Source organism: Homo sapiens, chromosome 1, assembly GCF_000001405.40.
Source record: "Homo sapiens chromosome 1, GRCh38.p14 Primary Assembly".
In the NCBI taxonomy this organism is placed as follows: Eukaryota; Metazoa; Chordata; class Mammalia; order Primates; family Hominidae; genus Homo; species Homo sapiens.
In genome coordinates this window covers 204,569,078-204,594,441 of record NC_000001.11, presented here as the reverse complement: position 1 = coordinate 204,594,441, position 25,364 = coordinate 204,569,078, and the positions used below count along the sequence as shown (strand labels likewise).

Genomic DNA, 25,364 nt, shown 5'->3' with positions numbered 1-25,364 from the left:
ACCAAAATCTCTGGGATTGGCCTGGGCACAGCGGCTCACACCTGTAATCCCAGCGCTTTGGGAGGCCAAGGCAGGAGGATCACTTGAGGCCAGGAGTTTGAAACCACCACCTGAACAACAGAGCAAGATCCCATCTCTACAAAAAGTAAAAATAAAAAACATTAACCAGGCACTTGGCAGGTACCTGTAGGCGTAGCTACTTGGGAGGCTGAGGCAGTAGAATGGCTTTAGCCAAGGCGTTCGAGGCTGCAGTGAGCCATGATTGTACCACCGCACTCCAGCCTGAGCAACAGAGATTCGAGACCCTGTCTCTAAAAAACCAAAAACAATAATAACAACAATAACAAAACCCTGGGATGCCACAAAAGTAGTACTTATGGAGAAATTGGTAGCATTAAACCTGTTTTGCAAAAGAAGGTTTCAAATCAACTCTCCAGCTTCTATCACTGCCCTGCTGTAATCTATTTATACCTCTCTCACAAGTTAAGTGCTCTGAGAGCTGTAGATATATCCCTTCCATCCTTGTTCTACAGAACCTAACACCTGGTCCACTGCAGGCCTCCAGAAACACAACTTAACTAGAATTCCACCCTCACTGGCTTCCCTGTCACAGCAGCTGGGAGAAGCCCTCTAGAGCTGGGCCTTCTATCCTATTCCATTTGGAATAAACAAAATTTTGGTCCCCAGACATGGCCCACGGAGACCCTGAGAACTGCAGATAGGCTTATTTTTCAAGCTCAATCTGTGGGGGAAAGCAGAACCCAGCACCTTGGCCATTGAAAACCCACTGAGCTCTTTCGCACTACGGGGCTTCTGCACCTGCGGCTCTCTCTTCCCCCAGCTCTTCATGGGCCCAGCTCCTATCTTTGTCCTGGTTACAGCTTAGAATGGCCTGCAGTACAGTGCACACTGATGTTTCAGCATGCCCAGGTCCATCACCTGGAGCCCCTTCCTGCGGCATCGCCAGATCTTGCTTTGGATAACTCCTCCTCCCCCAGTGGATACAGTCCTGATGAAACTGTCAATCACAAGTCCCTGGTCTTCATCCTGCTCTCCCCTGGCCAAAGAGTGAGGGCCTTTGTCCCTGGACTGTGAATCCTAAACAAAGTATCACAAACCCAGAACACCGTTGGGAGGTATTTGTCCCAGTGGCCACCCCCTGAAGAGACTGTCTTTGAGTGCCTGCCATAAAGATGCCCAAAATAGCACTGGTTCCTGTGCCTTCTTTTATTCTTTTTCTCTCTTCTTCTTTCCTTTGATCCTGAGAACTCCCCTTATCCTTCCAGAAATTTCTTTTTGCTTAAGTTTTCCAGAACTAATTTATATTGCTTGCAATAAAGAACTCTGATACTAAGGTCCCATCCTCAGTCAACATCTGCATTTTTCAAAATCTAAACTGATTTTAAAACATGTCTTTGTTTCCTTGTGTATTGTCTGTCTCTGCCACTGGAATGGAAGCGCCATGTCAGCAGGGACCTTTTCTGTCTGCTCCCTGCTGTCCCTCAGCACCTAGCCCCTGCCTGGCACATAGCAGGGACTCCAGAGGAAGGAAGAACCACACCCTGGTCTGTATCTTACCGTGAGGTCCACTTTGAACATGGGGCCGTGTGAAAGAGAAGGAAAGGAGAGGGCTTATGGGAACCAGTGAATGAGCTTCCACCTCTCCCAGGAGAGTGAATTCTAGCTTTGGATTCCAAACAACAGATTCCAAGACCAGAGCTCTCCTCCCCTCCCTCTTTGCTCTCTACCAATCCTTCCTAAGTCTGGAGCAGTGTCTTGTAAATCTTTAATTACAAGAAAATTGCAACCCAACCAACGAACACACGAACAGTGTTGATAAATATTTAAAGTTGCTACAGCAGCAGATCTGAAGGGATTAAGAAAAGATATATTGGAGTGACAGTTGTTAAACACTAAATCCCAGTAAACGTTACCGAGCAGATATATAATGCGGACTCCTGACAGCCGCTCTGTTGCTGACAAGACAGGAGGAACATCTGCTCAGGAACATGGCATCAGGGGAGGCAGCAGGCCCTCACGGCCTGTGACAAGGGTTTGGGAAGAGAGAGGACAGCCATGCACTTAGCTCTCTGCCCCCTGGAGTCATGCCCTGCCTCACAGTCCCTTGGCGTCCCTAGCTCCATGGAGGGGTGGCAGATAGTGGCTGGAAGGAAAGGAGAAGTTTCCAGAATGAGTACATTTGGAGGACCCCAGTGGCTGGGCTGTCACTCGTGGCTGTCTGTCAGGTGGACCAGCTCTAACTCTCTCCAGGGCTCTGGAATGGGCCCATTTGTATTGTCACCAGCACATAGCCCTTTGGAAGAAAGGTAACCAGCTTTGCTTCATTCATTCCTTCACCTTCACTCCTTTAATTCTCTACTCATTTCTTGATTCACCATTCACCTATTTCCCCCACTTATGCACTAATTGTCTCATTCTATTATTCATACATTCACTAGTGTATGCATTCTTTCATGCATTTATTCAATTACTCATGCATGAGTAACTTAAAAGTTACTCAGTGGTCAAATATTTATTGAGCACTTTTGACAGCTGGGGAGAAGCAAAGCTGAGAAATAACCACGTTGTACCCTCAAGATCTGAAAGCCTAGGAGAGAGTAGGGACCAGAAAGATAAAAATGTTCCAATATAGTAGGCTCTTGGCATTTGCAGATTCCATATTTGCCGTTTGACTATTCAGTAAATACCCACAAAGGTCTGTGACTGTCAAAGATCTGCACTGTTGTTGACACACGGCTTTGAATGACACATGCATCAAGGCTGGTGTGTGGAAATGAAGGTACCTGACCAGGTCTGGAGAAGTCAGGGAAGGCTTCCTGCAGAAGGAGCTGCTTGGGCACCAGCTATATGCCAGGCACTTTACTGTATTAGTTCATTTCATCATCACAACACTCTCCCAGCCCATTTTAAAGATTAGAAAATTGGAGATCAGCTTGTCCAAGGCCACAAATGGCAAAATAGAATCAGAATCAGAGCCTGACTCCAAAGCCAATGTGTTTTCTACCACATTTAACTGCTTCCTGGGGGCCCCAGCCATCTACCTCTTTACAATGAAGAAGAGTGGGAAAATCTCTTCTTCCCAAGGACAGAGAAAAAGTTGTTTTGTTCGTTTGTTTGAGATATAATTATAATTTATGTTCAGTAAGATGCACAGATTTTAAGTGTACCATTCAACACGTTTAGACAAATGTATACACCCATATAACCAACATCTAAATCAAGGTATGGAATACTTCCATCACCCTAGAAAATTTCCACCAGAGACCACCACTGTTTTAATTTCTACCACCAGATTTGTGTTGCCAGTTCTTGAATTTCATATAAATGGATTTAATGTATGAATGGTTTCTTTCCCTTAACATAATAAGGCAAGTAATATAGTTTGGATATTTGTCCCCACCCAAATCTCATGATGAATTATAATCCCCAATGCTGGAGGTGGGGCCTAGTGGGAAGTGTTTGGGTCATGGGGATGGATCCCTCACGGCTTGGTGAGTCCTCGAGATAGTGAGTGAGTTATCACGAGATCTAGTCATTTAAAAGTGTGTGTGGGCCAGGTGCAGTGGCTCACACCTGTAATCCCAGCACTTTGTGAGGCTGAGGCAGGTGGATTACCTGAGGTCAGGAATTTGAGACCAGCCTGGCCAACATATAGAAACCCTGTCTCTACTAAAAATACAAAAATTAGCTGGCATGGTGGTGTGCACCTGTAATCCCAGCTACTCGGGAGGCTGAGGCAGGAGAATTGCTTGAACTGGGGAGGCGGAGGTTGCAGTGAGCCGAGATTGTGCCACTGCACTCTAGAGCAAGACACTGTCTCAAAAAAATAAAATAAAATAAACTAATAAAATAAAAGTGTGTGGCACCTCCCCACCGACTCTCTTGGTCCTGCTTTTGCCATACATTGTGCCTGTTCCTCCTTTGCCTTCTGCCTTGATTGGAAGCCTTCTGAGGCCTCCCCAGAAGCAGATGCTGCCATGCTTCCTGTATAGCCTGCAGAAACATGAGCCAATTACACCTCCTTTCTTTGTAACTTACCCAGTCTCAGGCATTTCTTTATAGCAACGCAAGAATGCCCTAATACAACAAGATTTTAAAAAAGAGACTTTTCAAGTTGGGCACAGTGTCTCAGGCCTATAATCCCAGCACTTTGGGAGGCCAAGGCAGGTGGATCACTTGAGGTCAGGAGTTCGAGACCAGCCTGACCAATATAGTGAAACCCCATCTCTACTAAAAATACAAAAAACAATTATCTGGGAATGGTAGTGCATGCCTGTAATCCCAGCTACTCAGGAGGCTGAGGTGGGAGGATTGCTTGAACCTGGTAGGCAAAGGTTGCAGTGAGTCGAGATTGTGCCACTGCACGCCAGCCTGGGCAACAGAGCGAGACTCTGTCTCAAAAAAGAAAAGGGGGGGGGTATGGGGGGACTTTTCTAAGACGTTAAGGACAATTCCTCAGAAATATCCAAAAGTAATGAATTGACCTATCGCCAAGTTCCAGTTCAGTCCTGACCGCACTGAAAAAATGGTTAGATTGGTTGGCACTGCTAGGCCACCCAAAACCGTAGTTCCTTTTTTTTGCCCCACCTCTCTAAGGGGTAGGTGTTAACCACAGAAGCTCAGGGGTCAGACTGCCAACATTCTGGGTCTGAAGGCATCTGACCTTCCCGGGGCCTGTTCCCTTAAATCTTCTTAAGGTGCGAGCACTTGTGTACTTGTGTGTGCCAGCCATCTGCTGGCCTCCTGCACTGGGCCTCAGGAATCTCATTCCAGACTCCTGGGTAAGGAAAGCTCATTCCTCTCTGGCCTCAAGATTCCTCCCCTGCATGTCTGCCTGTCCTATATTTGCTTGGCCACACCTTCCTTATAACTCTAGGAAGCAGGAATCTAGACTGGTTCAGGGAGGCCCGACTTCTTCCTCAGAGTCCTAGGCCACCATCTTGGTCAAGGCTTTCTAGGAGCCTGGCAGGCTCTGAGGGGAACACCATCTTTTCCAGGGTCTTCTGGCTTCACATCAGCTTCTCTGTGAGTCAGCACCTTCTCCACACCTCTTGTACCTTTCAAAGCCTGTGTTCTCATTCTGGAGGCCCACCAAGTCCCTGCTTCCTGCATGAAAATTGCCTCTCTTCTCTTTTAAAGAGCAGGAACCACTGAGGCTGGGTGTGATGGCATGTGCCTGTAGTCGCAGCTACTTAGGGGGCTGAGGTGGGAGGATTACTTGAGCCTAGGAGATCGAGGCTGCAGAGAGGACCACTGTACTCCAGCCTGGGCTACAGAGTGAGACCCTGTCTCAAAAAAAAAAAAAAAAAAAAAAGCAGGGACAACTGAAATGCCCTGACTTGCTGAATGAATGAGCTCGCAGAACCAGCCCTGCAGCCCTGTGGATGGAGGTTATGCTCTCCAGGTGTCCCCAGGGAGGAGAATAACATTCCCCGAGGCTCCTCAATTATATTCTCACTGTCGGGGAAAATTCCTTTTAGACATTACAATTGGATAGCAACATTTCCTGACACAGGGTGACTGGAGGAGGCTGAGGAAATGCCCCAAAAGTCTGTAACAAGGCCCCGGATGTGGCCAGAGCCTGGACCAGATGCAGGAATGGGGGCAAGGGCCTTGGGGGTCCCCTGGGCAATCCAGTATCTTTCTCTAAAAAGGGCTGGAACTGAGCCGGAACTGCTGGAGACAATGGACTGAAGCTTTTTAATTGGTGTCCTGCACATCTCAGTGGTCATTACCTGCAGCCCAGGCTGTCTCTACCCCAGGCAGCTCGGTACTGTGGCACCCTGTGGCATCCTTCCAACATGCCCCTTGAGAAGGACCCAGGCTATTGATCCCCAGAAGGAAAGAGAGGCTGGGGCAGGTTACATGTCCCTGTTCCAGACTACATCAGTCAGTCGATCAACAACCATCAAGGAGCCCTTCAGAGACAAATGGTAATTTCATTCACTCTGGTCTTTAACTAGCTGTATTCTCTTACCATTTCCTAATTGCCTCTGTCTCTTTCTCTCTCATGCTGTCATTCAGTCAACGAAGATATACTGCATTTGAGAAGCAACCCAGTATTATAAAGAACATTAACACTGGAGCCAGATTGTCTGGGTTGGAACCCCAGCTTTTCCACTTACTAGCTGTGTGATCTCAAGCAAACTGGGCCTCAGATATCTTGTCCATAAACTGGCAATAATCAAATACTCACAGAGGTATTGAGAAGAACAGGGGAGCTAAATATGTAACCTGTTTAGAAGGGTTTCTGGCACGTGGTACAATAGATATTTTTGCTATTAAAATAATAATTATTACTATATGCAAAGCACAGTGCTAGATTCTGAAGATAAGACAGTGACCAACAAAGAAATTCCACCTGCTCTCATGGAACTTAACCCTTGAAGCTGCAGCGAAACTGCATCTTATGACTGTGATACATGGAAGGAAATGGAAGTACAGTGGCTGGGGGAGATATAATCAGGGCCTGAGCTGGACTGAGACACCAGGGAAGGCTCTCCCAAGGTAGTGATACTGAGTTGAGTTTCAAAGGATGGTGGGAGTTGACTGGAGAAGGGCACAGCAGGTGCAGTCTGGGGTAGGGAGGGGCCCGGCCATCTGGAACTGAAAGGCTAATGTGAGTGGAGTTTGCAGAGATCCTCAAAGTGCAGAGCGGAGAGGGCAGGAGATGAAGCAATGCAGGGGAGTCGGGAGTCGGGAGTCAGGAGGCCGTGGCTGGTACAGTCCACATAAAAGTAGACACAAAACCAAAGGCACAATCCATGACAGAGGTGACTGATAAGATGCACGTCATTCAAATGAAAAACTGCTTTGCAAAAGATGCTGTCAAGAGAGGAAGGAGACAAGCCACAGACTAGGAGAAATATTTGCCAAAGACATATCTGATCCAAAATATATAAAAAATTCTTAAAACTCAACCATAAGAAAACAAACACCCAATTAAAAACTGAGTCGAGGCCAGGTACAGTGGCTCACGCCTGTAATCCCAGCACTTTGGGAGGCCGAGGCGGGAGGATCACCTGAGGTCAGGGGTTCAAAACCAGCCTGGCCAACATGGCAAACCCCCGACTCTAATGAAGATACAAAAATTAGTGGGCATGGCGGCGTGTGCCTGTAATCCCAGCCACTCAGAAGGCTGAGGCAGGAGAATAGCTTGAACCCTGGAGGCGGAGGTTGCAGTGAGCGTAGATCGCTCCACTGCACTCCAGCCTGGGTGAGAGCGAGACTCTGTCTCAAAAAAATAAAAAAATAAATAAATAAATAAAAATAAAAAAAGAAAAAACTGAGCCAAACACCTTAACAGACATTTCACCAAAGAAGATGTACAAATGATAGATAATCATATGAAAAGATGCTCCACGTCACATGCCATTGGGGAAATGCAAATTAAAACAAAGTGATACCACTATATACATTAGAATGCCCCAAATCTGGAACACTGATAATACCAAATGTTAGTGAGGATGTGGAGCAACAGGAACTCTCATTCATTTCTGGTGGGGATGCAAAATGGTACAGCCACTTTGGAAGACAGTTTCATGGATTCTTACAAAACTAAACATACTTTCACCATATAATCTAGCAGTCGCACTCCTTGGTACTTACCCAAATGAGTGGAAAACTTATGTCCACAAAAAAACCCACACACAGATGTTTATAGCAGCTTTGTTCCTAGTTGCCAAAACTTGGAAGCAACCAAGGTGTCCTTCAGGAGGTGGAAGGATAAATAAACTGTGGTACATCCAGACAATGGAATATTATTCAGCGCTAAAAGGAAATGAGCAGCCAGGTGCTGTGGCATTCGCTTGTAATCCCAGCTACTTGGCTGGTTGAGGCAGGAGGATGGCTTGAGCCCAGAAGTTCAAGATCAGCCTGGGCAACATAGTGAGCAAGACCCCATCTCAAAAAAAAAAACAAAAAACAAAAAAAAAAAAAAAAGAGAGAGAGACAAGAGAGAGCCAAAAAAGAAATAGAAAAGAGCTGCCAGGCATGGTGGCTCATTCCCGTAATCCTAGCACTTTGAGAGGCCGAAGCGGGTGGATCACCTGAGGTCAGGAGTTCGAGACCAGCCTGGCCAACCTGGTGAAACCCCGTCTCTACTAAAAATACAAAAATTAGCTGGGCGTGGTGGCGGGTGCCTATAATCCCAGCTACTCGGGAGGCTGAGGCAGGAGAATCACTTGAAACTTGGAGGCAGAGGTTGCAGTGAGCCGAGATCACACCACTGCACTCCAGCCTAGGCAACAGAGCAAGACTCTGTCTCAAACAATAAATAAATAAAATAAAAATAAAGAAAGACTGGTTAAACCATGAGCACAGAGAGACTGCCCAGCACACCAGGAAGAGACAGAAAAACAGCAAGCCAGGTCTCTGCAAGGGTTCCACATATGGCCTGAATGTATAATTTGGAAAAACTGCCACCCCTACCTACCCCATGCATCCCAGCCACCCCCCCCGCCCTCCCTCTGAACCCCCAAGTTTGCACCTTCTTACCTGTCCCCAACAAATCGCAGCCAGCCCGGGCTCCCCATGTTGGGAAAGGAAACCTCGGTCAGAGACTCCACGGTCCACATTTTTAGGTGGGGGTGGGTTTGGCAGATTGGGAGTGGGGATGGAGAGAGGGGAGATGTTTGAGGGGGTAAGGGAAATAGGGAACCAGCTGGGAGGGAGGAGGAGCAGAAGAATAGGAAGGGAAAGAGGTAGAGGAGGGAAAGGAAAGGAAAGGAAAGAAGAGGGGCCTGGAGGAGGGAGAAGGAAAGACAAAGGCCTGCTGGGAACCAACCCAGTAGGAATTACACTCATTTTTTTTCAAATTTCTGGAAGCTAGCATTTACCTAGGTGGGAAAGGGAGCTTCTTCGCAAATATCCGACACATGTATGAGTGTACGTTGCAGGTATGAATGTGAATGGCAACGGGACATAGCGCTGGCTGTGGCTGTGGCTGTGGCTGCGGGTGCAGATGGAGGGGATGCGGGTGCCGTACACATCCTGATAAGGAAAAGAGAAATGGGGAGAGGCCTCAAAATAAGCAAACCACTCTTCGACAGCCCTAACAAATCTGTTTTTGTTTCCTGTGTGTCTTCCCTGTCCTCATCCATGTGTACGTGTGACCTTTACCTCTTTAACACACCAGAGTTGAGGGTGGCAAAGCCATGCCACATCCAGCAGAGTCCCAGACCACAGTCCGCAGATGCCTTCTGAAGTCACCTCCTCCTAGCAAGCCCCTCCCCAACTAATGCCCCACACCTGCCCCACCCCTCCCCACTTCCGCCAGGCTCTGGGCCTGGTCTTGCGTCTGCTTTGCATTTCCCGTGAGTGCTCCACTGCTCCTCTCAGGCTCTAGACATCACCCCTCCCCAGGACTGCAGTGTCTCTGCCTTTTCTGAATCAAGGCCCCCACCCCGCCTTCCTGGGCCCGAGGTGGCTGGAAGGTTTGCACAGAGCTAGCGGTTCTGAGGTGCTGGGAATGCACAGGGTCAGTGCCTCCTCGGTGCACAACATAAGTACCTTTCTATGTCATGTGTAGTCTTTGTGGCATAAGGTTACTGACCGTGTTATAGGCCACCCACAAGATGTCCTCTCTCCCTAACCATTGCCCTAGGGTTGAAAACATTGGATGACTACAAAAAAAAAAAAAAAAAGAGTTTTTCCCTTTGAAAAATGTTCCCTGTGAGCCTGAGAGGTGAGGAGGAAGGCATTTCTTCAGCTCCTTGAAGCGGGTAGGTCCAAAAGCTGCCTGCTCTGCAGAGAGCCCGGGAGAATGGGTGTTTCCTGGTGTCCTGCCTTACCTGACATCACTCCAGTAGCCCCTGGGGAGCATCTGAGAGGAACCCAATCCCAGGAGCACTATCACTTGGTAGGATTACTACCATTTAATTTGCCACATTGCTTTTTAATATGCTTTTTGTGCCATCTCCTCTGGTAAATCATAAGTGTCCTAAGGGCTGGTTACATTCTATTCATCTCTCAGTGCCTGGCACCTGGCCCAGTGCCTGCCACATTGTGATATAAACAAGCAGAGCAACCACTGAGTGAGCACCTACCCTGTGCCAGGCACAAGCACTTGACAGGCATAAATGACGTATAAATAGATGCCACTATTATGCCCACTTCACAGATGCTGAGATAGAAGCCCAGAGAGGTGAATTAACATGGCCATGGTCACACAGGGAATAAAAACCCAACTCACGTTTAGGCTTCTCAGTTTCTAGGGGAAACTTCCCTGAAATATTCTCAGGCAGCAGAAATCTGGAGCCAGCTCCAGGTCTGAGAGAGATGGCGCAGAAGCAGCACTGCCCCAGGCCCTGCCTCTGTTGTGCAATAAGTGGCGCCAAGGATTTAGAATTTCCCCAGAACTGAAATAATGATCATAAGCATCTTTATTACAAGATGTGCACTGCTTTTGCAATCTGCTTTTGTTTTTTTTGTTTCTTGTTTTTTTTTTGTTGTTGTTGTTATTTGTTTGTTTTGAGACAGGGTCTCTCTCTGTCACCCAGCCTGGAGTGCAGTGGTGTAATCTCAGCTCACCGCAACCTCTGCCTCCTGGGCTCAAGTGATCCTCCCACCCCAGACTCCCGAGTAGCTGGGACTGCCGGCGTGTGCCACCATCCTCGGCTGATTTTTGTACTTTTTGTAGACACAGGGTTTTGCCATGTTGCCCAGGCTCGTCTCAAGCTCCTGGGCTCAAGTAATCCACCCGCCTTGGCCTCCCAAAGTGTTGGGATTATAGGCGTGAGCCACTGCACTCGGCCTGCAATCTGCTTTTGAAAGCACTTTTCTATCAAATGTCTTTTTAGATGCTATGAGGAAGCCAAGGCAGGTATCATTTCATTTCTGATGAAGAAACTGAGACTCAGAGAAATGACCGTCCAAGACCACACGGCGAGGTGAAGGCAGGAATGGCATCTGTGTGCTGGAAAGACTTTCAGAAGAGGATGCTAGGCCTGGCGTGGTGGCTCACACCTGTAATTCCAGCACTTTGGGAGGATCACGAGGTCAAGAGATGGAGACCATCCTGGCCAGCATGGTGAAACCCCATCTCTACTAAAAATACAAAAATTAGCCAGGCGTGGTTGCGTGTGCCTGTAGTCCCAGCTACTTGGGAGGCTGAGGCAGGAGAATCGCTTGAACCCAGGAGGCGGAGGTTTCAGTGAGCCGAGACTGCACCACTGCACTCCAGCTTGACAACAAAGCAAGACTGTCTCAAAAAAAAAAAAAAGAAGAGAGAGAAAAAGAGGATGCTCTTCCTCTAATACAAGTATGGGTAACAGCCCTGCCTTTCTGCCCATTTACCAACAGCTCCAGGTGCCCACAGGGGACAGTCTCTGTCCTCAGGGCTAGGTCTCAGGGCCATGCTGACTGCACACCGACCTGCTCCCTTCTTGAAGGCAGAGGCTGGATTTTGAGCACTCCAGTTAGTGCAGGGACAGCACGGGACCCCTGTACCTCAGTGGCTGCACACTCCAAGGCCGAGTTTATGAAGGAGGACCAGCAGTCATCTACTTCCCCTGTCAAACACCATTACAGACTTGCAAACGCCAGTCTCTAAAGTTGGCTCTCTAGGCTGGATCTGTTCAAGTAAGCTGCATCAGCCAGTCAGTCACAGAGGAATTGGCCCCTCCACCCCCAAAAGACCCCTAAACCAAAGCCTGGGTGGCAGAGCAGTTGCCACCATCAAGCCAAGCTTGGACATCTAGGCTGAACTATGAAGGGTACACCGTTGAGATAGACAGTCCCTGGCCTTGTAGCCAAAGTGTCCAGTGTTCTGTTGTGTGGGCATCTAGGGGAGTCCTAAGGGATCAGCTGCCCAGCAGCCTTTTTCTAGAAATACAGGCACATCCACATGGATACAACAAGATCTCCAGGAGCCACGTGTCCTTCCTGTCCCCCGACAGCCACACTGATGGGACCAGCTGTGCATAGCCCACCTAAGCTGCGCATCTCAGAGTCCTTCCCTGAGCATTTGGAACCAAGAGACTCCAGGGTAGCCTGGCTTTCTCATAAACACAGGGACATAAACTTCAGAAATATTAGTGGTGGCCGTTCTCCTCCTTGGAGTCAAGAATAGAGAGAAAGCCAGTCTACAGCAAGAGAAAAGAATGAGGCAGCCCTGAAAAGAGGAGGGAGGCCCACTTGCATCCATGCCTTTGGGTTCCATGATACCTTAAGACTTTTCTCACAAAGTCCCCATTTTTGCTTAGAGTTGGTTTCTGTTACTTGTAACCAATAGAGTTAATACAGTATAACTCCATCATTCTCAACCAGGGGCGATTTTGTTCCCCAGGGGACATTTGGTGATGTCTGGAGATATTTTTGGTTATCATAACTGGGGGAAAGGGGGTGCTACTGACATCTAGTAGGTGGTCAGGGATGCTGATAAACATCCTACAATGCACGGGGCAGCCCCTCACACCAGGAACCATCTAGTCCAAAATGTCAAGTTGACAAGCACCATGCTTGTCAAAGACAGGAGCGATCATCATGAAAAAATAGGCTTTGTGTCTCACTTCTCCATTTGGCAAAGACTCTTTCATTTTAAACAATATTCTGGTGGTGAGAATTCTCATACCTTGATAGCAGGAGGACAGACAATGAGTGCAACCTCTATGAAGAATCATTTAACAAGACATTTACCTGGGGCCTTAACATGTTCACTGTTAAATCAGCAATTTACTTTGTAGAATTTATTCTTGGTAGAAAATCTTAATTCAGATATACACAAAGATTTATGCAAAAGGATGTTCAGTGTAGCTTTATTTATAATGGTGAAAAATGGAAACAACTTAAATATCAACCACTGGGTATTGGTTACATAAATTATGATACATTCATAGCACAGAATAATATATGTAGCACTTAAAATTATGTTTATGAAGATTATTTAGTAACACAGGGAAATGCTCATTATGTTAACTGAAAAGCCAGAATATAAAATTTTTGAAATATGCATAAGCACAGAAAAAAAGGCTGCAGGGAAATATATCAAAATATTAACTGTGGCTATCTCTAGGGACTAGGATCACAGCTATTTTTTTGTTTTCCTATTTTTAAAAAATATTTTCCAATTTTTCTGCAATTAACATGTATTATAATTTGGAATTTAATACTAGAAAGGAATCGTGATATCAGAATTTAGGATAGTCTAGATTATTCATTCATCAAAAAATAAATAAATAAATATATATATATATATATATATATATATTAAGAGCCTACCATGTGCTAGACGGACATTGTGAATAGGCAGACAAGGCCACTGACCTCAAGGGGTTTCCAGTCCAGGAGAGGAAGCACTTCAGAGGTTCCAACTATTTGCAAATTCACTGTTATAGAAACCATCTGAAAAGGATTTGTTATTAACACTTAAATAGCTACCATTTGTTGAGAGCTTATTATGTCAGTACTAGATGCCTTACAATTTTGATCTCATTATCTCTGCATAACACCCCGAAAAAATATGGTTAAGTCTTGGTCACATGGCTGGTGGGCAGTGGCCAGGATTCAAACCATATCTATTTACCATCAGCACAAATTCCCAGTCTCCTCTGCTCCCTGCCTCAGTGACAGGGGTCATTTCAGGACCATAAGATATGGCAAACTGGAGCCACCAAGAAAGATTTTAAAGTCTAGAAAGCCAGATAGAAAAGGGTATGCAGGCCAGGTATGGTGGCTCACAACTGTAATCCCAGCACTTTGGGAGGCCAAGGTGAGAGGATTGCCTGAGTCCAGGAGTTCAAGACCAGCCTGGGCAACATAGTGAGACCTTGTCAACAAAAAAATTTTAAAAAGACAAAATTAGCCAGGTATCGTGGTGCACACCTGTGGTCCCAGCTACTCTGGAGGCTGAGGTGGGTGGATGGCTTCAACCTGGGAGGTTGAGGCTTCAGCGAGCCTTGATCTTGCCACTTGGGCTTCAGCCTGGGCAAGATCCTGTCTCAAAAAAAAAAAAAAAGAGAGAGAAAAGAAAGAAAAGAAAGAGGCATGAGTGGGAGGAATGTAGGCCACTGACCAGATATCCAGCAGGAGGCCAAGAGTGAAGTTGTTTGCAGTGTTAGGGAAGGTCGTGGGGCCAGGGCTGGGGCAGAAGGGTGGTCACTGTCACAGATGAGCTCTGAGCTGCCCATGAGAAGGAAGAAATAGAGAAAAAGCAAAACCATTTAAGAAGTGGAGATAGAAAGACGAGCGCTTTGATGTACATTGGAATGGCTGCAGCTGCGGCCAGAAAGGAGCACGTCCTCTCCCCAGAGGTGAGTCTATTAGAGAAGGTTCCACACAGTGAGAGGGGAGCACAGAGGGGAATGAGCTTGTGCTGCAAACCAAAGCTCAGGGGACTCCAAGAAAACACGGAAATCAGGAGACCTCATGGGTTGTTGTAAAGGGCTATTGAGATGGCCTCCTCCCAGAAGAAATCAACAGAAAGGGTCCTGCTTCTTGGTGACCCAGAAGCCCGGGATAGGCTGGGTGTGGAGAGAAAGGGAAGCTGCGGAAGTCAAACTGGGGACTATTAGGAGCTTGGATCACTGGATTAACTTTGCAAAGTGAATTAAGTAATGAAGCTGGATGCAGATGGTGGAGCAACCGGGGTAGTTTGTGACTGGGAGGGACTAGTTTCTGCACTTCCAACAGCTGGCTGAACAGGTTAAATGCTCCACTCAAAGCCCAGGTCATTACCGTTGGTGGTGACATCCTGGCCCCTTCAGTGACAGACACAGAGGATCACCGTGGAGAAACACCAGGGAAGCTGAAGCTGATTTCCACTCACAATCTCGTTGTGTGCTTTGGTTCAGACATTTTTTTTTTTTGGTTCAGAAACTTCCAGGGGAAAACACCAGGCTAGGAGTCCAGAGGCCCGAGTGCGAGTCCCGGGACTCCTGTAAGTCACAGGAGCGGACGCATGCCACTTACCCGTGTCCTCAGCTGGAAAGTGAGAATGACGGTGCCACCCTCTCCTTCTCGGGCCTCCCCTGCCCAGTTTTCTCGGTGCCTCAGTGCCCTCCTCCAGACAGAGGGGGTGAGGAAAGTGCTTGCTTCGCAGGGCAGTGATGAGGGTCCAAGGAGGCAGCGCACGGTAAACTCCCTCCGAGGAAGCCAGGCTCGCAGTCAGCACTCAGCATCGTTGTTGCTGCTGCTTCTGCTGTTGTTTTTAGGCTAACTGGAGATAATAGATGTGAAAGTGTTTTGAGAAATACAAAGCACTCTATGTTCCAATAAAAGGTGTGGTTTCCATTCTTCCCTCTTCCTGTTTCATTTCTCAAAACTCCCCTCTGCACTGCTGGACTGAGCTATTGAACATGTCCCATCTCCCACAGGCTCCCCTGCCTCCAGAGCCCCCATCCCCTCCCCTTCACCCCCTCCTTCCTGGCACACAAAGCCCAACCCTTCTTCCTCTCCCCTGGGAGCCTCCCCTGATCCAGGCTGGGCTGGAGCCTCCTCCTCTCGGTTTCACCAGCACCCGTTGACTGCTGGCTGCACATACTGCAAATTTTCTGTGCTTTCATTTTTGGTTTTGTTTTGTCTTTTTCAGTCTTTTTCCTGCACTCTCCCCACCCTGACATAAGTTTCTTGGGCACAGACAGGGTGTCTAATTTGTCATTGCATGCCCAGAATCTAGCAAAGTCCAGGCATATTATCGTAAGCCCAGCAAATGTACACGGATTTGAATGAATGAGGAAATAAGATCATGTATATGAAGTCACCTTTTATGGTCTTAGAAATAATCATTATTAATAGCTCACTCAACAATATTCATTGATCACCTACTAATCTTTGAAAGGCCTCTACCTGGTACCTAGGGCAACACATAATAGGGTCTCTGCTCTCAAGGACTTTTCAAGGGAATAAGGGAGAACCCCTAGTGGAATTTTACGACCTGCAGATGACAATAACATAAATGTAGTAACATATGTATGTGCCCTAAAAGAGGCCAGGCTACCTGTTGCAGAAGTACAGTCAGGGACAGCTCCCCAGGGGCTTCAGGAGGCTCCTAAAGGAGGAGCTGACTTGAGCTCTGCCTTGTCCAGCCTCTCTGCAGCCCTGGGCCCTTCACTTCGTCTCTTCCTTCAGCTTTGGGAGGACTCAAGAGAGCTTGTGTCCTGCCCCTAGCCTCTCAGGAGGGGCCAGCAGCTCCCTGGGCTTCTCTGAGGCCACCACCTGGCAAACCTGGGGAGTCCTTGATCTGAGGCACCCGCAGGGTCACGCCTGCTACAACTCCATCTGGCCAAGGCCTCAAGGCAGCAGAGGCTGAGGGATTTGGAGCCCCCCAAACCCTGGTTTGAGTCTTGGCTCTGCCACTTGCCAGTTGTGTGAAGACATAATTACACTTTATCCAGGCCCCAAATTTCTCGTGTATAAAATGAGGCCAAGCCAGGTGCAGTGGCTCACGCCTGTAATTCCAGCACCTTGGGAGGCTGAAGCGGGAGGAGGATCGCTTAAGGCCAGGAGTTCAAGACCAGCCTGGGCAACATAGCAAGACCTTGTTTACATACAAAATCAAACATTTAGCCAGGTGCGGTGGCACATGCCTGTGGTCCCAGCTACTTGGGAGGCTGAGGTGGGAGAATTGAGGAGCCCGGGAGGTCGAGGTTGCAGTGAGCTGTAACAGTGCCACTGCATCCTAGCCTGGGTGACAAGAGTGAGATCCTGCCTCAAAAAAAACAAAAACATAACGTAAATAAAATGAGGACAATAGCCATTAATGAGATGGTGACACTTCAATGAAACAACAGATATGGAGAACCTGGAACATTCTTTTAAAAGCCTTCAATAAATGTAAACCATTTTTCGCTCTAGGACCTATAAAGCTGCAGTGCTTTGCAGCCAGTGGTGGGTGCACTCTAGGCCTCATGGGTGTGTTAGACATATCACAGGGCCCTGCCCCACCCTCTGGTCTGGGAATCCTGGGATCCCAGAAAAATGATGCAGGTTAGTAAAACTCAGACCTTCTAAATTTTATAGACACATTTAAGAATCTCTCAGGGTCAAGAACTAGTTGTAATTAAATTATAAATGTCCAGAAAAGAGAGAATGACCTCATTTTAGCCTCTGACCCCATGAGGCACAAGAAGGCAGGTATAGTTACCCCAGATGAGGAAACCAGGCCCAGAGAAGGGAAGTGTTTTGGCCAAGGGCACATAGTGCACGAGGGGCAGAACCCGGACTAAGTCTGCCCTTTCCTCTCTGCATAGTTACCATCTAATAGGCTGGGTGCCCAGAGGGGCCCCTTCTTGCCTAGGGACCAGTCTGCCTTTGTAGGACTAACAAATTAGCTACAAGATTAGAAATTACAGTTTAGGGGTCATGTCGCCTATGGCTCCAAGAGTCTGAACCTCCCCAAATTGTTCCTGGGAATAACATCACTATTGTAAAACCTAAGATCAGTGCTTGAGATATTTTGCAGACCCTGCACTCGATGGATCAGCTGACACCACCAAGACCAGTAATCTGGCTTCACCAGTTCTGCCATCCCACCCAGGAACAGAAAACAGCAAGAAAACCTCACTCCGACCCCCTATGATTCCATCTCTAACCTGACCAGTCAGCACTGACCACTTCCCAAGCCCCTACCCACTGAATTATCTTTAAAAACTCTGATCCCTGAATGCTCAAATGCTTGGGGAGACTAATTTGAGTAATAATAAAACTCCGGTCTCCCGCACAGCTGGCTCTGCATGAATTACTGTTTCTTCACTGTAATTCCCCTGTCTAGGCAGCAGGGAAGGTGAACCCACTAGGCGGTTACACTGTCCTTACAGTCTCTAAGGCTCCTCCTGCCCCAACGCTCAGGGACTCCCGGGCATTCAGTCGAGGGGTGTAAGATCAAGCCAGGCCTGACATCCTGCTGACTTGCCTGTCATAGAACAAAGGTCCCAGGGTTATCTGGCCCATCCTCCTGCTCCCGGCTCTGCCCATCTCCTCTCTGCCGCCTGCTCCCAAACCAACCTGTCTGTCCACCCCAGTTAGCACTCCAGCTAGCTGGAGGGGAGGGAAGGAGAGGCTGCATTCATTGCAGCCTTGTACATATAAGCAAGTTTGTGGGCCCACAGCCTTCACCCCACCACCCCCTGCTCTGCCACTGCATCATCTCCAGTCTCTTCTCTCCTCCCTGCACCCATCCCCCAACCACAGAAGCCTAACAGATTCCAAGGGAACAGCTGGAACCTCCTTGCTGCTGGAACTTTTGCTGGTGGGAAGGGGTAGGGCATGCCCTGACCTGGGCATCTCAGGGACACACTGCTCGGGCCTCTGCCTTCTGGGTCTCCTCTTGGTTCCATTTGTCCTGTAGCCTCTCCCTGTACAGGAGGTCAGGAGGAGCAGTCACAAGTCGCCCTGTCTGATGCATTAGGACACAGAAACCCAGGAAGGTTGAATGGCTCACTCAAGTTCACACACAACAGCCCGAGGAGGAAACCACTCAGTCCAACAGGAGCTCGGCCAAGTTGCCAGCTTGCCTTGCCCTCCTCCCTGAGATGGCCAGCATCCTGTATGGATTCAGGGAGAACTCAAACATCAAAACTGGCAGAGGTGGAAGTGGAGAGTGGCAAAGGGGGAAAAAGATGAATCAAGGCACGCAATCCCACTAAAGAAAGAAGGCTTCAATGTACCCGGTGGCCCCCTGCCGGCTCCCAATGCCAGCCACAGCGCCATCCTCCTACTGAATGTTTAATTAAAAGAACAGGACTAATGGGATGGGTGTCAAACTACACACTTAATCTGCACCAGAGACAGCCCCTCTGGGAGCCACTGAAAGAGATCAAAGCTGCTTCTGTGAAGCCCTCATTCTTCAGGGACTTCAGGGGAGTCGGCAGCAGGAAAAAGATTTGGAAAAACCACCAAAAAAATAAAAATAATAATAATAAATGAGGAAAGAGAGGAGAGTTGGGAGTAGGAGGGTGTGAGGAGCGCGGGCCAAGGAAGGCAGCAGGTTCCAGGCCATGCTTAGTCCCCTAGTGTCTCTCCTCACATCCAGCCCCAGTGACAACTGGTGTCCTCAGCTCAGGCCATGGCGGTGAGCCCCTGCCTCCCTGTGCCTGACCCAATTGAAGGTCCTCCTGTGACTTCCCTCTGTCTCTCTTTCCAGTAACTTAGAACCCTCCCTGACCGCTTTCCTTCTTTTGGGTCTCCAAGCCTTGCAAATGCTGCTTCCTTGCCTGGAGCATCCTTAGCTTGGGTTTCTGTCACTTGCATTCAAAAGAGTCTAACATAAGAGAAATGGTCAGATAGGAGGGCAGAATGGATCACTGTTAATTATGAGGACTTTGGAGGCAAACTGCCCAGATTCAAATCCCTGTTCCACCCCTTGCTAGCAGTGTGACCCCAAGCAAGTCATTTAACTTCTCTGTACTTCATCTGTCAAATTCACTCATCACAATACTTAACTCACAGGGCTGCCGTTAATTAGTTAATGTCCACATGTATCTGATTAGAAGAGCACACTGTGTAACACAGCCCATTACGACTGCTCTAATTCCAGCCCACAGGGCCAGCTGGCCGGGGCCCCTTTCCACAGCAGTGGTGAGTCCAGATGGGCCACACCTGCTGCTGCTCCAGGGCTGCATCCCCTTGTGCTGTCCTCCCAAGGCTACATCTGCAAGTGGAGAGGATTTGGCTATCACTCACTGGGGGAGAGATAAGTGTGGAAGCAGGAGGGGGAATTGGGGAAGGAGGGAGGCTGCGTGTGGGACACCTTCGGAAGCCCTTGTCTTCTTCGTAGTCCCCAGGGAAAGGAACGCCTGCCTGCTCTGTAGAGGGCAGGCTGAGCTCTGAGTGTGGGCTTCCTATTCTCACAGCAGCTAGTTTCATACTTAAAAGTCTGAAGCCAGATATATTCTGCCACCAGATTAATTTTTTTCTGAAGCTCCCATTTGGTCTGTTGGAGGAATTCACATTCCTCCGGCTGTCATAACTTTGCTCTGTCTTTCAAGAGCTCACACCCCTGGCCTTGTTTTGCAAATAGAGCATTCTTTCTCTCCTGCCTGTCCTTTACCTTACAAAGCTTCCCCATACTGAACAAAAACATTTTCAACTGCTCTGTAGTGGAAGGTAGGGAGGCCGGGGTGGAAGTAAAGGGTAATTAAATAATTTCTGCTGCAGCACGAAAAGCTGAACAGCATGAAGTATTATTAATACGATGTGCTCTTCCTAATGAATTAACACAGGCAATCCCTCTCTCCTGTCTGGTGTTCAGTAAATATTTGTTGAATGAATGAATAACAGCTTATGATTCTGTCTTTCCTGCTCTGATGAATTATGAAGTCCATGTAGCCAAATCAGCATCAAACCCATTTTATATGCAGTCTGTGTTTTGAGCCCCAGGTCAAAGTGAATAAAATATGTGTGAAAATGAAGTAATAATGTCCATTGGAGACCACTGGCTTCCTGTATTTGTAGGGGATAGGGTCTACCTGGCTTGGTATTGGTGACTTGAGAGTAGCCTTCCAGCTGCTTTTCTCTGGTTCCCAGGTAAACCAGGGTCAGGCTGTCCCTTCTAGGTGGAACTCTGTTGAGACCCCACAGGCAGCTCTGGTGAATGACCAGCATGTGCAAACTCATTGCTCTCCAGCTGACCCCAAAACCATGCAGGAAGAAGGGCAATTCCTGCAGGACTGAGTCTGCCCCCGGCTGAGCCTTGCTTTGCTCATTGCAGATATTTAAGTCTCTCCATAGTGCTGTGACTCACCTGTCTGTCCTTGGTTGGAATTCCACAGGGAAATCACATGCAGAACCTGGTCACTATCTGTACACAAAGCACATGGAGAGATTCTAGGGACAATCATTTCTAAGTAAATTACCTAAGGGCAGAAGAGTCTGCCCGGGAGCTGGGGGAGAATGGAGCAGGGACAGGAGATGGGAATAAGTGACTTGTACATTAATCACAAAGCAATCAGCAGATGACAAGGGGCCTTGGAACCACCACGTCTGTCTAGCTGGACGAGGTGAAAGAAAAGGTCACCCTTGTCTGGGAACTCTCATCCATCTTCAAGACACACACTTACCTGGCTTGCATGTGCCTGAGCTTCCTGTTTTTCCCGCCCAGCAGAGATGCTGCCCTGGCCTGGTTCATTGTCCATTATTTGCCCTCTGGGCCATCCCAGCATCCACCTGGCCTGCCCCACCTGGCCCAGGCCACAGAGGAGGGCATGGCTTTGGCTAGTTGACCTTTAGGAAGTCATTTACTGGGTGTAACCCACCTCAGTTCCTGAGACCTGTAAACTCCTCTTTCTCTGCCCTGAATCTTCCCCAGTTATCAGGGCCCAAGCAGGAGAGTGGGCGTGAACTCTCAGCGCTCTTCCCCTAACTTTTTCCCTTGATCCTCCCCAGCTTCTTCCCTCTCCTGGCAACCCACCCCCTGCCCACTGTCCCCTGAACACAGAGGCTCCTGATGGATGGAGCTGTCTTCTTACTTCCGCTGGCCCTCCCTGGGCTGTACACTAGCCCTTGGATCAAAACCTGTTCCCAAGTTCAGATCAATTTCTTTCTGACATATTTTCACAAAAGTGGGTTTTGTCTCCCAGGTCATTTGAATTTGAACTGGAGCAATGTCCTTGCCCAGGTGTAACCCTTGGCAGTGGATTTTGGCAGTGGTGATGAGTTTGGAGTAGAAAAAAAGAGTCCTGATTAGAATGGCTACTCCATGGCTCAGATCACAGATAGAGCATGAGATTTGGATTTAGGCCTTGGATTTATTTTATTGATTGATTGATTGATTGATTGATTGAGACGGAGTTTCATGCTTTCGCCCAGGCTGGAGTGAAGTGGTGCAATCTTGGCTTACTGCAACCTCCACCACCCCTCCCCCGGCCCTCACCAGGTTCAAGTGATTCTCCTGCCTCAGCCTCCCGAGTAGCTGGGATTATTGGCACCTCCCACCACGCCTGGCTAATTTTTGTATTTTTTTCGTAGAGACGGGGGTTTGGCCATGTTGGCCAGGCTGGTCTCGAACTCCTGACCTCAGGTGATCCACCCACCTCAGCCTCCCAAAGTGCTAGGATTACAGGCGTGAGCTACTGGGCCCGGCCCCTGGCATTAGATTTAAATCCTGGCACAACAACTTCCTAGCTGTATAACCTTGGGTGAGTCATTTAACCTGTCCTAGTTTCTCATCAACAACAAGGATAAACATGTTCACCTCACAGATTTAGCTGAGGAGCGGATTTAATAAAGTATATATTTTTAAATCCTGGTACAAAGTTGTAACCATTCTCCTTACCATGGTAAGGCCAGCACTCCCAACATGGGGGAAGGGGTGAAGGTCAGGGAACTGAACTGCCCTCTGCAGCTGAATAGCACCTAGGCAGGTTATTTTAAAGGCCCTTGGCCCCCAATATCTGTGGCACCTGTGTACTCCACCCTCCGGATTTCCACCATTGCAGGAATTCCTCTGGGTAAGCATTATAGTCTCCCTAGGGTCTCCTTTTGAAAGGTGAAAATTCTCATGAAAGTTACTAATGCTGTAATGTGAAAAGTGTAATTAAAAGATTTTATTTATTTTTGTGAGAATACAAGGTGCCCTAGAGCCCAGAAACCAGGAGGAAGCAAGGATTGTCCCAACTATGAGAGGTGAATTCAGGCCCTGAGCCAGGCACTCTCTTATCCATGATCTCATTCTGCCTCATAACAACCTTCAGGGGAGTTATTGTTAAAGAAATGTTTAAAGGTAAAAATCAAGGCCCTTGTATAAATACAACCTCTTACAAACATGAAATTCAGACATGCCAATGATTTAACTCGTCGATTAATAAGGGAACTAGTAAGATGTTACGACCGCTCAAAAAAGAATCCAAAGAGCAGATGCATACAGAAGCCATCGGGAATGCTGACATTAATTTGCTTAACAAATATAAAACTGGTCAATATCCATAGGGCAATAATCAGTTGCATTTCCAATGGATATAATTTGCATTTCTATGGACAAAATCATTTGCATTGTTATCAGTTTTCTACAATTTTCAGAGTCATAAAATAGCTCAAAGACAATGAAAGAAAGGCAGGGGTAACCCATAGGCAAACAGACAGAATGCCCAATAACAACCTTCTTTTGCCATTTCAAAGTCTTGCACAACTTTTTCTAACATTATGACTATCCTCATTTCATCACAAAGCAGAAAGCATGGAGACAGGCACAGAAAGTAGAAATGAAAAGTGGAAATCTAGTCCAGAGGCACCCAAGTGCCAGTCCCATCTGAGGGCCGGGGAGTGTGTAACAAGGATGTCACATGGGGGATGAAATTAGAAAAATAAGAATGAGGTCAGTTTTTTGACGAAGCTAAATGATTTCCTTCAAAAGACTGTCCATTATTGGAGATTATATTCTTCCTACATTTGTGGCATTAAAATGTCTTTTCCATCTGGGCATGGTGGCTCACGCCTGTAATCCCAGCACTTTGGGAGGCCGAGGTGGGCAGATCACCTGAGGTCAGGAATTTGAGACCGGCCTGGCTAACATGGCAAAACCCTGTCTCTACTAAAAATACAAAAATTAGTGAGGTGTGGTGGCACATGCCTGTAATCCCAGCTACTCGGGAGGTTGAGGCACAAGAATCACTTGAACCCTAGAGGCAGAGGTTGCAGTGAGCCGAGATCGCACCACTGCATTCCAGTCTGGACGACAAAGTGAGACTCCATCTCAAAAAAAAAAAAAAAAAAAAAAAAAAGGACAATGCCTGAGCAACATTACCTGGGTCCCCTAGCCCAGCAGGGTTCTCCTTGTCTCAGCCAAAGATGGGAAGCTGACTTGGTTAGGCTGGGCATCCAGACACCGAGGCTGAATAGAAAAGAGATAAGAAAATTACAACTTACAGACTGACCCTGGGGATGCCAGAGGGTGGTCCAGATGGAGTAAACCCCAAAAATGACCTTCTCTGGTGTTAGCCTCCACATGCATTCTGTCTATTGTGCTGCATGGCTTGTGCTATGGTCTGAACACTGGTGTCTCCCCAAAATTCATATGTTGAAACTTAATTCCCGAGGTGATAGTATTAAGAGGTGGGGACTCTGGGAGATGATGAGATCATGAAAGCAGAGCCCTCATGAATGGGACAAGTGCCTTTATAAAAGAGGCTAGAGGAAAGCTGTTTGCCCTTCTGCCACGTGAGGACACATAGAGAGCACCACCCATAAAGAATGGGCTCTCACCAGACACCGAATCTGCCAGCACCTTGATCTTGGACTTCCCAGCCTCTAGAATTGTGAGCAATAAACAACTCATAAAGATATTTATGAGGCCAGGCACGGTGACTCATGCCTGTAATCCCAGCACTTTGGGAGGCCAAGGCAGGTGGATCACTTGAGGTCAGGAGTTTGAGAACAGACTGGCCAACATGGTGAAGCCCCATCTCTACTAAAAATACAAAAATTAGCTGAGTGTGGTGGTGCACACCTGTAATCCCAGTTACTAGGGAGGCTGAAGCACGAGAATTGCTTGAGCCCGGGAAGTGGATGTTGCAATGAGTGGAGATTGTGCTACTGTACTCCAGCATGGGCAACAGAGTGAGACCCTGTCTCAAAAAAAGAAAAGAAAAAAAGATGTTTATGAGTTACCCAGGCTAAGATATTTTTTATGGCAGTGCAAGGGGTCTAAGGCACTTGTCAGTAGGCTTTACCTACACTGTCCTCCCCGCCTATAACGAAGATCCGATCCTGAAGCTCAATAAAAACCTGGCCTAAGCTGGCATGCAGACCAAGAAAGACAGGAACAGGGCTTGGCACCATCTCCCTTCCTGAGAGTCTGCTCCAGCACCCAGGGTGCAGGGTTGTAAGCAAAGCCAGAAACGAGAGGGATTACAGACTTCACAAGCCAATGACTAACTAGTATCTGGTGAATTGAAGCAGAGATTTCCTAGCATGTGACAATATTAACATTTGCAGCCTGGGTTTTCAACTCGTCCACATCAGGGGTCTGGTTGGCAAAGCCCTGCCACCTCCCCCTCATTTGACTATCTGCTGCTAAAAGTCAGAAATGATCAAAGGCCCTGCTTTTAAAGGCATAGTGGGGCTCCACCAGACAGCGAGAAGCCCAGGCAGGCCCCACCTGGAAAGAACAGAGAACGCACACACACTGGAGTTTGGGGTTTCATTCTAAACAAGTGGGGCATCCCGTCATCACTCCACAGGGGAAGGAGGGTAGCGTCCAGTGGAGGATCTGCAGGCACCAGCATGTTAAGCACTGCTACCTTGTAGAACCTACTTTCTGCTGGGTTAACAGGAGAGGAAACAAGCATGGGGGAGGATACAGCTCCTGGTGGTTTTTAAAGAAGAGTGCGTTTAAACTCAGAGTGTGCCTGAACAGCTGGGCTGGAAAATTGCTTGTTTAGCTCTGCAGTTTGTGTCAGGGACTCACTGGCTGA

General features: G+C 47.8%; 1 long non-coding RNA gene across 6 annotated transcripts in view, besides 2 other annotated features; it reads right to left on the bottom strand.

Annotated features, from left to right (window-relative positions):
* The window catches only part of LRRN2-AS1 (LRRN2 antisense RNA 1), a 65,547-nt gene that overhangs the window by 35,276 nt on the left and 4,907 nt on the right, over nucleotides 1–25,364 (bottom strand). For 3 of the 6 annotated variants that reach the window (XR_007066818.1, XR_007066820.1, XR_007066821.1), the window contains exon 1: nucleotides 3–35. This is a non-coding gene — a long non-coding RNA (LRRN2 antisense RNA 1). Of the gene's footprint in view, nucleotides 1–2; nucleotides 137–8,858; nucleotides 9,013–13,284; nucleotides 13,363–14,032; nucleotides 23,415–23,695; nucleotides 23,783–25,364 lie in introns of those variants that run through there. The other 3 variants (XR_007066814.1, XR_007066815.1, XR_007066816.1) reach the window with 2 other exon arrangements.
* Nucleotides 15,666–16,197: an enhancer, noted in NCBI's record as "H3K4me1 hESC enhancer chr1:204547373-204547904 (GRCh37/hg19 assembly coordinates)". NCBI's record gives its function as "activates a minimal SCP1, AML or CMV promoter by ChIP-STARR-seq in primed H9 embryonic stem cells {active_cell/tissue: H9 hESC(primed)}" and the evidence as "EXISTENCE:reporter gene assay evidence [ECO:0000049][PMID:30033119]".
* Nucleotides 20,974–21,674: an enhancer, noted in NCBI's record as "H3K4me1 hESC enhancer chr1:204541896-204542596 (GRCh37/hg19 assembly coordinates)". NCBI's record gives its function as "activates a minimal SCP1, AML or CMV promoter by ChIP-STARR-seq in primed H9 embryonic stem cells {active_cell/tissue: H9 hESC(primed)}" and the evidence as "EXISTENCE:reporter gene assay evidence [ECO:0000049][PMID:30033119]".